The sequence below is a fragment of the Homo sapiens genome, chromosome 12 (assembly GCF_000001405.40).
Source record: "Homo sapiens chromosome 12, GRCh38.p14 Primary Assembly".
Lineage (NCBI taxonomy): Eukaryota > Metazoa > Chordata > Mammalia > Primates > Hominidae > Homo > Homo sapiens.
In genome coordinates, this window is record NC_000012.12 from 2,133,759 (window position 1) to 2,147,984 (window position 14,226).

The 14,226-nt window shown below is 47.3% G+C and overlaps 1 protein-coding gene and 1 long non-coding RNA gene across 56 annotated transcripts in view, besides 4 other annotated features; both read left to right on the top strand.

The window, feature by feature from the left end:
• Positions 1 to 14,226, top strand: part of CACNA1C (calcium voltage-gated channel subunit alpha1 C) — a 727,171-nt gene that overhangs the window by 162,979 nt on the left and 549,966 nt on the right. The window lies entirely within an intron of this gene.
• LOC107984131 (uncharacterized) overlaps positions 1 to 14,226 on the top strand; it is a 36,596-nt gene that overhangs the window by 1,790 nt on the left and 20,580 nt on the right. The window lies entirely within an intron of this gene.
• Positions 1,773 to 2,568: an enhancer, noted in NCBI's record as "NANOG-H3K27ac-H3K4me1 hESC enhancer chr12:2244697-2245492 (GRCh37/hg19 assembly coordinates)". NCBI's record gives its function as "activates a minimal SCP1, AML or CMV promoter by ChIP-STARR-seq in primed H9 embryonic stem cells {active_cell/tissue: H9 hESC(primed)}" and the evidence as "EXISTENCE:reporter gene assay evidence [ECO:0000049][PMID:30033119]".
• Positions 3,365 to 4,160: an enhancer, noted in NCBI's record as "H3K27ac-H3K4me1 hESC enhancer chr12:2246289-2247084 (GRCh37/hg19 assembly coordinates)". NCBI's record gives its function as "activates a minimal SCP1, AML or CMV promoter by ChIP-STARR-seq in naive H9 embryonic stem cells {active_cell/tissue: H9 hESC(naive)}" and the evidence as "EXISTENCE:reporter gene assay evidence [ECO:0000049][PMID:30033119]".
• Positions 5,523 to 6,024: an enhancer, noted in NCBI's record as "H3K4me1 hESC enhancer chr12:2248447-2248948 (GRCh37/hg19 assembly coordinates)". NCBI's record gives its function as "activates a minimal SCP1, AML or CMV promoter by ChIP-STARR-seq in naive H9 embryonic stem cells {active_cell/tissue: H9 hESC(naive)}" and the evidence as "EXISTENCE:reporter gene assay evidence [ECO:0000049][PMID:30033119]".
• Positions 6,025 to 6,524: an enhancer, noted in NCBI's record as "H3K4me1 hESC enhancer chr12:2248949-2249448 (GRCh37/hg19 assembly coordinates)". NCBI's record gives its function as "activates a minimal SCP1, AML or CMV promoter by ChIP-STARR-seq in naive H9 embryonic stem cells {active_cell/tissue: H9 hESC(naive)}" and the evidence as "EXISTENCE:reporter gene assay evidence [ECO:0000049][PMID:30033119]".

Genomic DNA, 14,226 nt, shown 5'->3' on the forward strand with positions numbered 1-14,226 from the left:
GTGCTGAAAAAAATGTATATTCTGTTGATTTGGGGTGGAGAGTTCTGTAGATGTCTATTAGGTCCGCTTGGTGCAGAGCTGAGTTCAATTCCTGGGTATCCTTGTTGACTTTCTGTCTCGTTGATCTGTCTAATGTTGACAGTGGGGTGTTAAAGTCTCCCATTATTATTGTGTGGGAGTCTAAGTCAATTTGTAGGTCACTCAGGACTTGCTTTATGAATCTGGGTGCTCCTGTATTGGGTGCATATATATTTAGGATAGTTAGCTCTTCTTGTTGAATTGATCCCTTTACCATTATGTAATGGCCTTCTTTGTCTCTTTTGATCTTTGTTGGTTTAAAGTCTGTTTTATCAGAGACTAGGATTGCAACCCCTGCCTTTTTTTGTTTTCCATTGGCTTGGTAGATCTTCCTCCATCCTTTTATTTTGAGCCTATGTGTGTCTCTGCACGTGAGATGGGTTTCCTGAATACAGCACACTGATGGGTCTTGACTCTTTATCCAATTTGCCAGTCTGTGTCTTTTAATTGGAGCATTTAGTCCATTTACATTTAAAGTTAATATTGTTATGTGTGAATTTGATCCTGTCATTATGATGTTAGCTGGTTATTTTGCTCATTAGTTGATGCAGTTTCTTCCTAGTCTCGATGGTCTTTACATTTTGGCATGATTTTGCAGCGGCTGGTACTGGTTGTTCCTTTCCATGTTTAGCGCTTCCTTCAGGAGCTCTTTTAGGGCAGGTCTGGTGGTGACAAAATCTCTCAGCATTTGCTTGTCTGTAAAGTATTTTATTTCTCCTTCACTTATGAAGCTTAGCTTGGCTGGATATGAAATTCTGGGTTGGAAATTCTTTTCTTTAAGAATGTTGAATATTGGCCCCCACTCTCTTCTGGCTTGTAGGGTTTCTGCCGAGAGATCCGCTGTTAGTCTGATGGGCTTCCCTTTGAGGGTAACCCGACCTTTCTCTCTGGCTGCCCTTAACATTTTTTCCTTCATTTCAACTTTGGTGAATCTGACAATTATGTGTCTTGGAGTTGCTCTTCTCGAGGAGTATCTTTGTGGCGTTCTCTGTATTTCCTGAATCTGAACGTTGGCCTGCCTTGCTAGATTGGGGAAGTTCTCCTGGATAATATCCTGCAGAGTGTTTTCCAACTTGGTTCCATTCTCCCCATCACTTTCAGGTACACCAATCAGACGTAGATTTGGTCTTTTCACATAGTCCCATATTTCTTGGAGGCTTTGCTCATTTCTTTTTATTCTTTTTTCTCTAAACTTCCCTTCTCACTTCATTTCATTCATTTCATCTTCCATTGCTGACACCCTTTCTTCCAGTTGATCGCATCAGCTCCTGAGGCTTCTGCATTCTTCATGTAGTTCTTGAGCCTTGGTTTTCAGCTCCATCAGCTCCTTTAAGCACTTCTCTGTATTGGTTATTCTAGTTATACATTCTTCTAAATTTTTTTCAAAGTTTTCAACTTCTTTGCCTTTGGTTTGAGTGTCCTCCCGTAGCTCAGAGTAATTTGATTGTCTGAAGCCTTCTTCTCTCAGCTCGTCAAAGTCATTCTCCATCCAGCTTTGTTCTGTTGCTGGTGAGGAGCTGCGTTCCTTTGGAGGAGGAGAGGCGCTCTGATTTTTAGAGCTTCCAGTTTTTCTGTTCTGTTTTTTCCCCATCTTTGTGGTTTTATCTACTTTTGGTCTTTGATGATGGTGATGTACAGATGGGTTTTTGGTGTGGATGTCCTTTCTGTTTGTTAGTTTTCCTTCTAACAGACAGGACCCTCAGCTGCAGGTCTGTTGGAGTACCCTGCTGTGAGAGGTGTCAGTCTGCCCCTGCTGGGGGGTGCCTCCCAGTTAGGCTGCTCAGGGGTCAGGGGTCAGGGACCCACTTGAAGAGGCAGTCTGCCCGTTCTCAGATCTCCAGCCGCGTGCTGGGAGAACCACTGCTCTCTTCAAAGCTGTCAGACAGGGACATTTAAGTCTGCAGAAGTTACTGCTGTCTTTTTGTTTGTCTGTGCCCTGCCCCCAGAGGTGGAGCCTACAGAGGCAGGCAGGCCTCCTTGAGCTGTGGTAGGCTCCACCCAGTTCGAGCTTCCCGGCTGCTTTGTTTACCTAATCAAGCCCGGGCAATGGCGGGCGCCCCTCCCCCAGCCTCGCTGCCGCCTTGCAGTTTGATCTCAGACTGCTGTGCTAGCAATCAGCGAGACTCCGTGGGCGTAGGACCCTCCGAGCCAGGTGTGGGATATAGTCTCGTGGTGCGCCGTTTTTTAAGCCGGTCTGAAAAGCGCAATATTCGGGTGGGAGTGACCCAATTTTCCAGGTGCGTCCGTCACCCCTTTCTTTGACTCGGAAAGGGAACTCCCTGACCGCTTGCGCTTCCCAGGTGAGGCAATGCCTCGCCCTGCTTTGGCTCGCGCACCCACTGGCCTGCGCCCACTGTCTGGCACTCCCTAGTGAGATGAACCCGGTACCTCAGATGGAAATGCAGAAATCACCCGTCTTCTGCGTCGGTCACGCTGAGAGCTGTAGACCGGAGCTGTTCCTATTCGGCCATCTTGGCTCCTCCTCGAGACCTTTCTTGTAATCACCCCATTTTAAAGATGAGGAAGGGGCACAGGGCAATGAACTAACTTGCCCAAGTTTGCATAGCTATGAAGCAGTGGAGCTGGGATTCCAGCCTGGGTGTGTGGCTCCCAAGTCTGTGCTTTTAACTGCTATGCTGTGTGGCCCCCAACTAAGGTATAAATGGGAGGGGTATTTTGCTTTGAATACGATGCCTTAATTATCAGGCCTTCAACTAGAGTTTATGCAGTGTGTGCGCTTCTGTCTTTACCAAGAGGACCAAGGGAGGAGCAACAGTGAAGGAGGGAGTGAACGTCCCCAGGCTGGGTGGTGTCTGTAGGGGTCCTGGGGGCATGCCATGGAGCCCCCAGGCCATGCCATTTGGAAAGCATAAGGGGTAGGCAAAGGGGAGGCCTTTTCATCTGCTACTACCTGAGAGGTAGACTTGGCTTTGAGGCCATATTTTCCCAGGGATCAGTGATTCATATTACCTGAGATCCTCAACCAAACAGGCCCCCGGGCCTCTTCCTAAATAGATGAGAATCTCTGGTTGGGGTGAGGGAACCCAGAATCAGCCTGACTTTCTGAGACAAACTTAAAACTTGAGGGACCCTTCTCGTGGACTGAGTCCTTGGAAGCAGATCTTGGGAGCTGCTGGGCCTGCATTTGAACTTGGGGCCTTCATGGGACCCCAGTCAGTACTGGTGGTTGGCAGGGCTCAGAGCATAACATGTGGGGGACCCCACGGCGCCCCGCCCAGGTGAGAGCAGTCCCCCTCTCGTGCCGAGAGGCTCCACAGGTTTTGCCTGTGCACCCTAGGCCCCACTGGAGACGTGGAAACATCGAAGAGCTACGGCCTGAACACCAGGATGTGGGATGGGTAGTAAGAGAGTGCTGAGCTGCATGTCCTAGCCCTGGGCTCTGGTTCCAGTTCTACCTCTGCCTGGTGGCACGGCCTTGTCACTTCACTTCTCTGAGTTTTAGGTTTCTCGGCTGTGAAATAAAGATAATAATTCCTACCTCACTGAGTTATGGCAAGGGCAAATGAGAATATAGATAGAAATGCTCCGCCCAGCTCTACCAAAAAAAAAAGTATATATATACACACACATACACACACATTAGCTGGGCATGGTGGCTTGCACCTGTAGTTTTAGCTGCTTGGGAGGCTGAGACGGGAGGAGTGCTTCAACCCAGGAGTTCAAGGCAGCAGTGAGCTATGATTACACCAGGGTGATGGGGCGAGACCCCATGTTTATTTTTTAAAATGCTCTGGAAAAATGCAAAGTGCCATATAAACATAGAGGCATTATTGTGATCATTATTACTGTTATGATTCAAACTAGACAGATATATTTGTCTCTAAAATACTTACTGTTTTTTTTTTTCTGGCACATTCCTCTGTGAACCTTTTTCCTCAGCCTCCTCTCAAGATAACTTAGAGATGCAAAAGAACTAGAAGCCAAGTTCCAAATTTAGTTCTTGACCTTTCCAAGATGGGTGGTGAGTGGTGTGGCTGCAACCTGCCTGCTGCCAAGAGTCTGGCAGGGCTGCCGGGGTCCGGGAGCGCCAGGCCAGTGGACCCTGTCTTTGTGTGCAGTCCTGGAGCCGACACATCGCCTCACACAGGCGCCCCTGCCGGGAGCTCATGCGGGCCACTCCCTGTTTTCTCACTGGGTCTAGCTGAACTCTGGCACAGCGAGTGTAGCTGCTGAGTAGTTCGTTTGGTGCTGTCCTGTGACTTGCAAACCCCTTCCTCAAATGCATAGCAGAAATAGTGGGAAAACCCCAGGGCTTTTATTATCTGGGCTCTCGGGCACACAGTCAGAAACATGGCCTGGGGCAGCCTCTCTTCTCTGTGCCTTTGAGTCCTGAGGAACAAGGTCAGGCATCAAGAATAAGGAAGGCCAGGATATCCAGGAGGAGACCTCACGTCTGCACCGAGGCTTCATCAGATCTGACTGGAAGTGCTGTGGTCCCTGTGGCCAGGCCAGCCTTCACAGGGCTGGGGAGCACAAGCCTTGGTGTGGCCTGTGCTTGCAGATGGATCCTGGTTGTGTGGGGGAAGGCAGGTGGCAGGTGGTGGATGCTATGCTTGAGGGCTGGGCTGTGTACGCAGCTCACAGTGTGGAGGTGCTTGAACCCTGGCAGTTGGGCACGGTTGATAGGGACGGGCCTTGTGGGAGAAGGTGTCGAAGGCCAGGGTGTGGCTCCGAGTCCCACTTCTGCTAGACTGACCAGAGAGAGCAGGTAAGAGAGTGACCAGCAGCAGGCCGGGGTCACTTCCACGCTTCCTGCCCATCGGAGGAATGTTCCAGAGGTTATCCCAGAGAGAGGTGAAGCCCAACATGGTCTTTCAGCCACACGCCGGGCTCCCCTTCCCCTTCTGCCATGAGTGGAAGCAGCCTGAGGCCCTCACCAGAAGCAGATGCTAGAGCCATGCCTCTTGTGCGGCCTGCAGAACCGTGAGCCAAATACGCCTCTTTTCTTTTTAAGTAACCCTGCCTCAGGTATTCCTTTATAGCAACACAAATGGACTTAGACAATCCCCAAGGCCCAGACTTGGAGTCCCTTCTTGTAGGAAGTTTTCTCTGCTCCTCCATGACTGGCTTTGGTGCTGCCCTCTGTGTTTCCATAGCATTCTAGATGACCCCTATCAAAGCACATTTAGCCTCCTGCTTACTCATCTGCGTCTCTCAGTGTGTTTGTTTTCTAGCACTGCTGTGAAAATACCATGCATTTGGTGGCTTAAAACAATAGAAATTTATTGTCTCACAGTTCCAGAGGCCAGAGTTTCAAAGTCCAGGTGTTAGTAGCATTGGTTCCTCTGGGCACTCTGAGGAGTGTGTTCCGTGCTCCTGCCCTGGCTCCAGTGTTGCCAGCAGCGCCTGGCATCCCTTGGCTTCTAGGTGCCTCACTCCAGATCTCTGCCTCCGTCTTCACATGGCGCGCTCCCCTGGGTGTTTGTGTCTCTGTGTCCAGCTTTCCCTCCTCTGATAAGGACAGCAGTCATTGGATTAGGGCTCCTTCACCTTAATCCAGTATAACCTCATTTTCACATGATTCCATCTGCAAAGACTTTATTTCCAAATAAAGTCCATCTGCAGCTCTCACCAGCAGCGAGCCCTGTGCAAGAAGGGATCACATCTACACAGATCCAGTGCAGTACCTGGAGTACAGCTGGGGCCTTGCGCATGTCTGTGAGGGCCAGGCCAGGCTGTTAGAGTGTTTCTTGAAGGAAGGTGTGCTTCAGTGTGGATGCTGGTCCTGACTGGGCCGCTGCCCTTGCCTGTTAGCTCCAGACAGGGTGGGCTTCTGTACCCGTTTACAGTATAGCCGCCTGAGGGACCGTGGCATGTGTGGCAGAGGAGATCTCTTGCGCCCCTGAGGTCCTCCAGTTATATCTTAGTCCTGCAGCTTAGCACCAATGCCTCCTCATTCTCTGCCTCCTCTGCCCGCTGGCCTCAGACATGCGCCCTAAAGATGGGAGCATGCAGTGTGAACTGGAGGTGTAAGGGGTGAGGCCGCTCCCAGGACACAGCGGGCCTCATGCGACATGCCCTGGCTTCTGGATCCCTAAGCACCGAGGCCATCCAGGGAAGGGCTGGCCTCCTCCCTGGCTCTCAGGGTGCTGTGAATCAGGTTTGGCAGGGGTCTCAGCAGGGGCTTATCTCTGCCACAGTTCAGTCCAAACAGGATGAGCAGCTCTTGGTGGACCAGCGGTGACCCAGGCAGCTCCTGGTGCTGTGTACTAGGCTAGGAGCTTTGGAGGGCGTCCCTCCCTGCAGACCCCTCTCTCACTGCCCATACGGCTGTGTGTTGTCATCATATTTTGGCAGAGAACCTGTCCCATAACCAGAGAACCTCTGTCCTGGGACAGGGACAGGCCCCAGCTCACTCTGGGAACAGTCACGGTGGGTGGACGATTTGCAGAATGGTCGGAGACCCTCCAGCAAGAGGATCCATTGTTCACGACTGCAGGGTGATTTCTTTGGGATTGCAGACAAGGGCCTCCCAGTCACTTTTGGTTTGGTGTCTGTTCTTAACACAGTTCCTGAAACATAGAAGGCACTCGATGAGTATTTGCTGAATAAATAACTGAATGAATATGTGAAGAAGAGAAGCTGTTCATGGACTAGGGATTCTGGCAAGGTGTGGCATGGCTGAGACAGCACCAGATGAGAGGCTAGGAGGCCTCCATCCCAGACCTCTCTCTGCTCCTCACCAGCTGAGTGACCTTGGGCAAATGTCTTTGCTTCTCTTGACCTCTGTTTGTTCATTTTTCTTAATCTAGGAGAGGAGTATATGTAGAGGATTCTTTTATGTTCTGTGCATCTGTGGTCTTTTGCCTGACAAGTAGACCATTTGACTTCATATGAGCACATTCCTTCATGCATTCCTTCTGTCATATTTATTAAATGCCTACTGTGTACCAGGCTAGGTGCTGGAAAAGCAAGATGTGCGGAAACAAGGGTGCGCAGGGTCTCTGCCCTCACAGAGCTTGTCAGGTTTGATAAGAGCTTACGTTCTTATGATGCCAGCCAATAAACAACTGGCAACTTCATACACACCATGCTTTCAGAGCACTGTGAATATTAATACCATGGAGAAAGTAAAGGAGATAATGAGATGGAGAGTTCCAGGGTAAGGGCCCACCTGGAGCGGGTAGGCAGGGAGGGTCTCTCTGAGGAGGTGGCACTGGGGCTGAGAGGTGGTGACAAGATGGGCTGGCTCTGGGCAGACCTGGGGAGGAGGCTGCGGGCAGGGGACAGCAGGGCCAGGACCCCGAGGTGAGCAGGGCCCACTGTGGCTGCTGCTCAGGAGGGGAGATGAAGGAGGATGTGAGTGGGGTTGGAGGGGCAGACAGGGGCTGAATTATGTGGGTCAGCATGAGGAGTTTGTTGTGAGTGTGACGTTGGCAGGTCTGTGTGCTTCCCAAGGCTCCAGAGGAGCAGGAAGGATCTGGAGGAGGGTTAGGAAGGTAGCAGAGATAGGCGAGGGTTACGGCCTTGACTTTAGCATTCCCAGAGCAGTTGATGTGGTTGCCAGAGGGCCTGGCCAGAGCTCACTGGGGAAGAAAGCCCTGGACGGTGCAAGCTGCCATTTCTTGAAGGGAAGTCGGTCATGGAAACATGTCAAAGGGACCTGCCAGAAGCTTCTGGGACACAAGGCTCTTGTGAGGTGTTTTCCCGTCTCTTTTGTGTACACTGTGGGCTTGGCCATCCAGCCTTCATTTCCCTAGCAACTTCTCTACATCCAGATCCATAAGAGAAACCTTTCTGGTCACCCCATAAGGGATGCAAGCTCCGTAACGAGCACTCAGGCTCCTCGCTGATGGGGGCTGCGAGGTTCCAGAAGGTTGGCCCATGCAGCAGGCCACTCCTTAGCGCCTCTGGCCCTGGGTAGACTTTGGCCTCAGGGGAAAGGAGCGTGGAGACAGCTGTGGACACCCAGATTGCTGTATATCTGACAGCGCTTGGCCCCCATCTATCTGGAAGTGGGGTGAGGCAGACTGCATTTTCAAGCTCAACCCTTTCCTTTATGGCAGCTGGGGTGGGTGACCAGCCCTGTGTAAGCCATAATAACCCAGCCTGCATGAGGATACCATAAAGCGGAAGCCGGGCGGCTCTTTGAAGGGATGACGTGGGAAGGGTATCCTCTCCTTTCCAGCATTCCTTCATTTGGGGAGCACTGCCTCCTTGGGACAAGACTCTGTATTGGGGAGGCAGCACTGAATGGGGAAGTCCCTGGTCTGGTGGGGGACAGCCACCACCTGGCACGTGATGGTGGCAAGAATGCCTAATGCTTATGAGTGCCGCAGTGTGCAGCTCTGTGCCTTACACACGTCACCTCCCACCATCTCCCAAGGACCGTGTGGGGTGGATCATACAGTCAGGCACTGCATAACAAGAGTCTGATCAAGGACAGAGCACATGTACGATGGTAGTCCCATAAAACTATCACGGAGCCGAAACCTCCCTATCTTTCTGCCGTCGTAATGGTGCAGTGGCACTCATTACTTACGTGTGTGTGGTGGTGTGGTGCTGTTGTAAACAAACCTACTGGGCTGACAGTCTTATCAAAGTCTAGCACAGACAGTTCTGTACAGTACTGTACAGTACACAATACTTGATAATAAATGACTGTTACTGATTTACGTATTTACTGTGCTATACTTTTAACTGTTATTTTAGAGTATACTCCTACTTATTAAAACAAACGTTAACTGTAAAACAGCCTCAGGCACGTCCTTCAGGAGGTAGCCATAAGAAGGCATTGTCATCTTAGGACATGCAGCTGTGTATTATTTTCCCCGAAGACCTTCCAGTGGCACAAGATGTGGAAGACAGTGATATGGATGATCCTGACCAAGGATCCTGATCCTTGATATCGACGATCCTGGCCTAGGCTAATGTGGACATTTGTGTGTTAGTTTTTAACAAAAACCTTGAAAGTTAAGAAAATGTTACAAATAGAAAAAAGCTTATAGAATATGGATAAAAGAAAAGTATTTTTGTACAGCTATACAGTGTGTTTGTGTTTTAAGCTAAGTGTTATTACAAAAGAGTCAAAAAGTTAAAAAAAATTAAAAGGTTTGTAAAGTAGAAAAGTTACAGTAAGCTGAGGTTAATTTTTAATTGAATAAAGAAAATCTTTAAATTTTTTTTTTTGTTTTTTGAGACGGAGTCTCTCTCTGTTGCCCAGGCTGGAGTGCAATGGTGCTATCTTGGCTCACTGCTACCTCCGCCTCCCAGGTTCAAGCAATTCTTCTGCCTCAGCCTCTCGAGTAGCTGAGATTACAGGTGCCTGCCACCATGCCCGGCTAAGTTTTGTATTTTTAGTAGAGACGGGGTTTCACCATGTTGGCCAGGCTGGTCTCGAACTCAGGTGATCCACCCGCTTTGGCCTCCCAAAGTGCTGGGATTCCAGGTGTGAGCCACCGCACCTGGCCTAGAAAATCTTTAAAATAAATGTAGTGTAGCCTAAGTGCACAATGTTTGTAAAGTCGACAGTAGTGTCCTGTAATGTCCTAGGCCCTCAAATTCACTCACCACTCACTCACTGACTCACACAGAGCAACTTTCAGTCCTGCAAGCTCCGTTCATGGTAAGTGCCCTATACAGGTGCACCATTTTTTGTCTTTTATAGATTATTTTTTATGTACCTTATCTATGTTTAGACATGTTTAGATACACAAATACTTACCATTGTGCGACAGTTGCTACAGTGTTCAGTACAGTCTCAGGCACGGTCAGAGGCCTGGGAGCACTAGGCTGTATGTAGCATACAGTCTGCGTGTGTCGTAGGCTGTGCCATCCAGGTTTGTGTAAGTGCACTTTCTGATGTTCACACAACAACAAAATCACCTAACGACTTATTTCTCAGAATGTATCCCTGTCATCAGGAGATACAAGACTATAATTAGGGGTAAACTTTAAAGGACTTTGTTGAGAAGACCATTCATGTGGGGCTTCCTGGATTTGGTTGGGTTGTGGTACCTCCTCTAGTGATGCAGAGCCTTCCTATGATTTTTCTCCCTGCCCCACCCCAATGCCCACCCTTTCGATTTGCTATTTCCTCTCTCCACCTCACCCCAACACCCAGTGCTATTTACATGCTATCTATATGATGTAAGTTGTGTCTTTACTTTTCAGCTGCCTGACTGTGAATTTATAATCACTGGTATTGGTAACAGTAGGCTAGTTAGTTGGTCCAGTCAAACAAAGATGAACTGATCCCTGCTCTGTTGCTTGTGGTCAGCACCACGTGGGCACACAGGAGGACTAATCATTCCTGTGTAAACGCTGAGAAAACAACTAAGACACATGGAAAAATTAGGAGCTATCTGCAGGATTCTGACTGTAATGTGATTATTAGAAAGCCAATAAGGCAGTGGTTAGCATGAATTGGAGTGGTAGAAAAGGATTTCTTGGAAGAAGCCGGGCTTGAGTGCCATCTTGAAGGGTGTAGAAGAATTGTCTGGACCAATGGTAGGAGTGCTGGGATTCCAGGTAAGGAAAAGAAGAGACACCATTCCATGTGAAAGATATCATTTTGACATATAAACACAGAATTTCCAAAGTTCAGTCTAAGATCATTCTTAGGGTGGTCTGTTTTCATTCATTCAACAATTACCTATCGAGCACCTATCATGTATGAGACACAGCAGTGCTTAAAACACACACAGTTCCTGCCTTCATAGGGCATCCTTCTATCTAAGGGAGACAGGTATTCAGTATCTATTTACATAATTATTTATTCATTTATAACTCACCTCTAAAATGTTTAGGTTTGGGGTGTGACTATATTTGTTTTAAGTTAATATTTTACGCGTGCTACTGAAAAAACAAAACCCAAACTAATGATCACTGTATTTCATGGAAGCGGGGGCTGTCTCATGAAGATGACATTTGTCTTAAATTATGATTGAAAAAAATGTTTTAGGGTAGATTGTTTGTAGAGTTTTTCATCCTGCTAAAGTGATCCCTAAATCATAAAACTTGAGACTTGCTGAATGAAAGGGATAAAAGAGTGAGGAGGACCTACAAATCTTCATGGGGAGTAGATTGTGTCTGTTTGAAGTAAAGCCACACCTGTCATGAGGGACCAGGAGAGGCTTCTAGGAGGAAAGAGAACATACCAGGGAAAGAACTGAGCAAACTTTCAACCCTCTGCAGTATTAGAGGTGGACAGGAGGGCAGCACTATATTGGAGAGATTGTTAAACTGAAAACTCAATTAGCATGCACAAAAAGTATATGTGTTTAAGGCTGTTTTAACTGTTGGTGAGATGCTGAGCTGCTAAGGGCTGCCTGCTGTCATTACCTATTAGCAAGACTTTAAATTCTGACTTGCTGAAGTACGTATTTCCCCCTGTAGCTAGCCATTTCTAGTAAAGCTTGTTTATTTTTATTTTTGTAAAAAAAATGGTTATAGTTAATTTATCCTTTTGGAATTGGAAGAGCTTCCTGCCTGAATAACTTTTTTTTCTTTTCATTTTCTCCAGTGTAGAATTGCTGGTTTTGGCCTTTTGGAGCTAAGTAATAAAACTCTTTGTTTATTCTGCTGGGTCTTTGCTTGTGTTAGAGCTGTTTTATCTCAAACATTTGTAATTCTATAAATTGAAATCAGCTTTTCTTACACTTGTGGATTCCTTTAGATTTGAAATCTATTCTTGGTTACGTTTATAGCTTCAACACGCCTCTCATTGTAGGTTTATACATGTGTTTGCTTGCTCATTTATTTTGTCATCATTTGCTCATTTTATTACCAGTTATTGAGTGCCTACTGTGTACCAGGCACTGGGCAAGGGGCATTCTGTGAGAGAGGGTATGGTACCTGCGGGCTTAAGTAGTCCGTGGGCTTGTGAGGAAAACGCTAGATTAAATCTTGATTACTGTAAATGTCAAGTATGGCCAAGTGTGGGATTTCGTGGCAGGAGTGAGCTTTCCTGGAATTTGTCTTTCTTGCCTCAATTTGCCTGATAGTCATTTCATGCTAGGGATGTTTTAAAGTCTCTGGGGAGGCCCTGCAGTGTAGAGGAAAATGCTGATCCACACCAGAAATGCGAACCTGGCTCTCTGCCCTTGGGCAAGTCACTTAACCCTCCTGAGCCTCAGTTTCCATCTGTCACTTAGAGCTGATTATACCTACTTAACACCCAGGCTTTTTGTGAGGGGCATTATCTCATTAGAGATAATGTTTTTAAAAGCTCTTTGTAAATTGTGTAGCATTCAAATGGAAGTTATTGTTATTTTTATTATTGAGTGCCTTCTAATTCAACACTGGGATAGTAACAAAAGAAGAGAGGGGTTATTATCACCCCTCTTCCCTGTCACGTTTAGATTGGGGCAAGGAAAGGTTCTCACCCTCGAGGAATTTATGATCAGACTGGGGAGACAAGAACCAGTTTGAGAAGCAGGTAATGGTAGTTGAGAGAAGGGATAGAGGGCTCAAGAATCTCTCCGCGCCTTTCTGGCTCCAAAATTCTACAGTAGGAGTCAGGAAAGGCTTCACTTGTGAAGTGGCACTTGAGTGAGGCCGTCATCAGCATAGGAATCAGAATCATCTTTGTGTGCTCATCATAGTAAAATAAATATTGATTGAGTAGCAGTATGTGGCAAGGGACTCACAAATACATTTTGGTTGAGGAGTCAGGTTACTTGGATAAAAAATGATAATGAATGGTACAAAATTCCCTCCACTGGCGCCACAGGAGGGGCAGCCCCGGGCCTGAGGTCTTTGGGAAAGGTGTGGGGAGGCGGTGGGCACAGGCCTAGGGAAGGGCAGGATTTAGACGAAAGCAGAGCCATTGGAAAGGCATATTCTGTGTTTCCACTATTGACAGCCTCAATTATTGGTTTTCCCATTCAGCTTTCTGCTCTCAGTACCCCATTCTGTTTACCTGCTGGTGGGCAGAGCGTCACACAACCAAACTCGCGTAGCCTTCTTCACCCTTTCCCCTCTTTTCTGCAGAATGGGTTTGTTATGACTTGACTGTGATTTTTCAGGCCTTTAATCATCCAAGGTGAATGTCTAAGGGTGGACCCAAGCAGGGCTGGACCCAAGCAGGGCTGAGTTAACTGGACCCAAGCAGGGCTGAGTTAGGGGAAGCAGGGAAGAGAGGGGAAGGACAGCCTGAGCCCTTCCAGACACAGGCAAAGGAGAGAGGACAGACATATCCTCCCTGAGAGCTCTCCAACCCCCCCAATTATCAAAGCAAATCAATGTCACTCTAAGTCATATCTCCATACTAGCTCTATCCTTTCTCCTGTCCCTATCTCTAGGTCTATAAATTCAGGGCTTAAGGGATTTCTAGGGAAATTACAGCAAACGAATCACTGAGAGAGGGGGGGAACCTCCAAAATGTTGTGAGTTGCTTGTTTAATGTTTCAGGAGCTTCAAAGAAATTGAGCAATTTAGATTAAATTTCAAGAAGTGGGGCTGACTAGAGAGAGAGGAAAGTTAGAAACAGCGTGCTATAGAGGTTGATGGTGGGAATAAACTCTGCTGTTTCAGCCAGGCCAGGCTTCCTTCCAGTGTGCTTCTGTATGATGTTAATAAATGGGAAAGTGATTGACAACTTCCTTAGGCAACTTTGGGGAGTGAAATGCCAAATTTGGGCAAAGCAGACCTCTAGCTTTATTGGTATTGGGGCTTTGCCAGAATTATCTGCTATTAAATACTTCCAGGGACCTGTTGCCTCTTTGTGACAAATGTTAGATAATTTCCATTAACTGCATTATTGATGGAGAAAGCAGAAAGGTGAGAGAGTGGAGAGAGTAAAGATTGAATGAGTGTCAGAACTAACTGGAGGAAGAGGGAAGATAAAGATGTGAAGAAGTATATATCTGAGGATAAAATGTAAAATGAAATTAATGAAAATACGATGGTCAGATTGGAAGGAGAGAAAATGCAAATTACAGAGTGAAAGAAGACTTCTTTCTACTCTCAAATGTTTTGGGGGGATTTTGGGGGGGCAAATAGGCAGTAGGTTTTCACACCTTTTGAAAAACCCACCTCTTCACACTTGAGTTTTCATGTTCTTGGTTCATAATCCTAGGATTACCATTGTCAGTTGTGCAGAATCCCATTGGAAAGCAATATGCCATCAGTACATCTGGTAACAGGAGGATGCTAGGAATGGGAATACAGAATATTTATGCAACT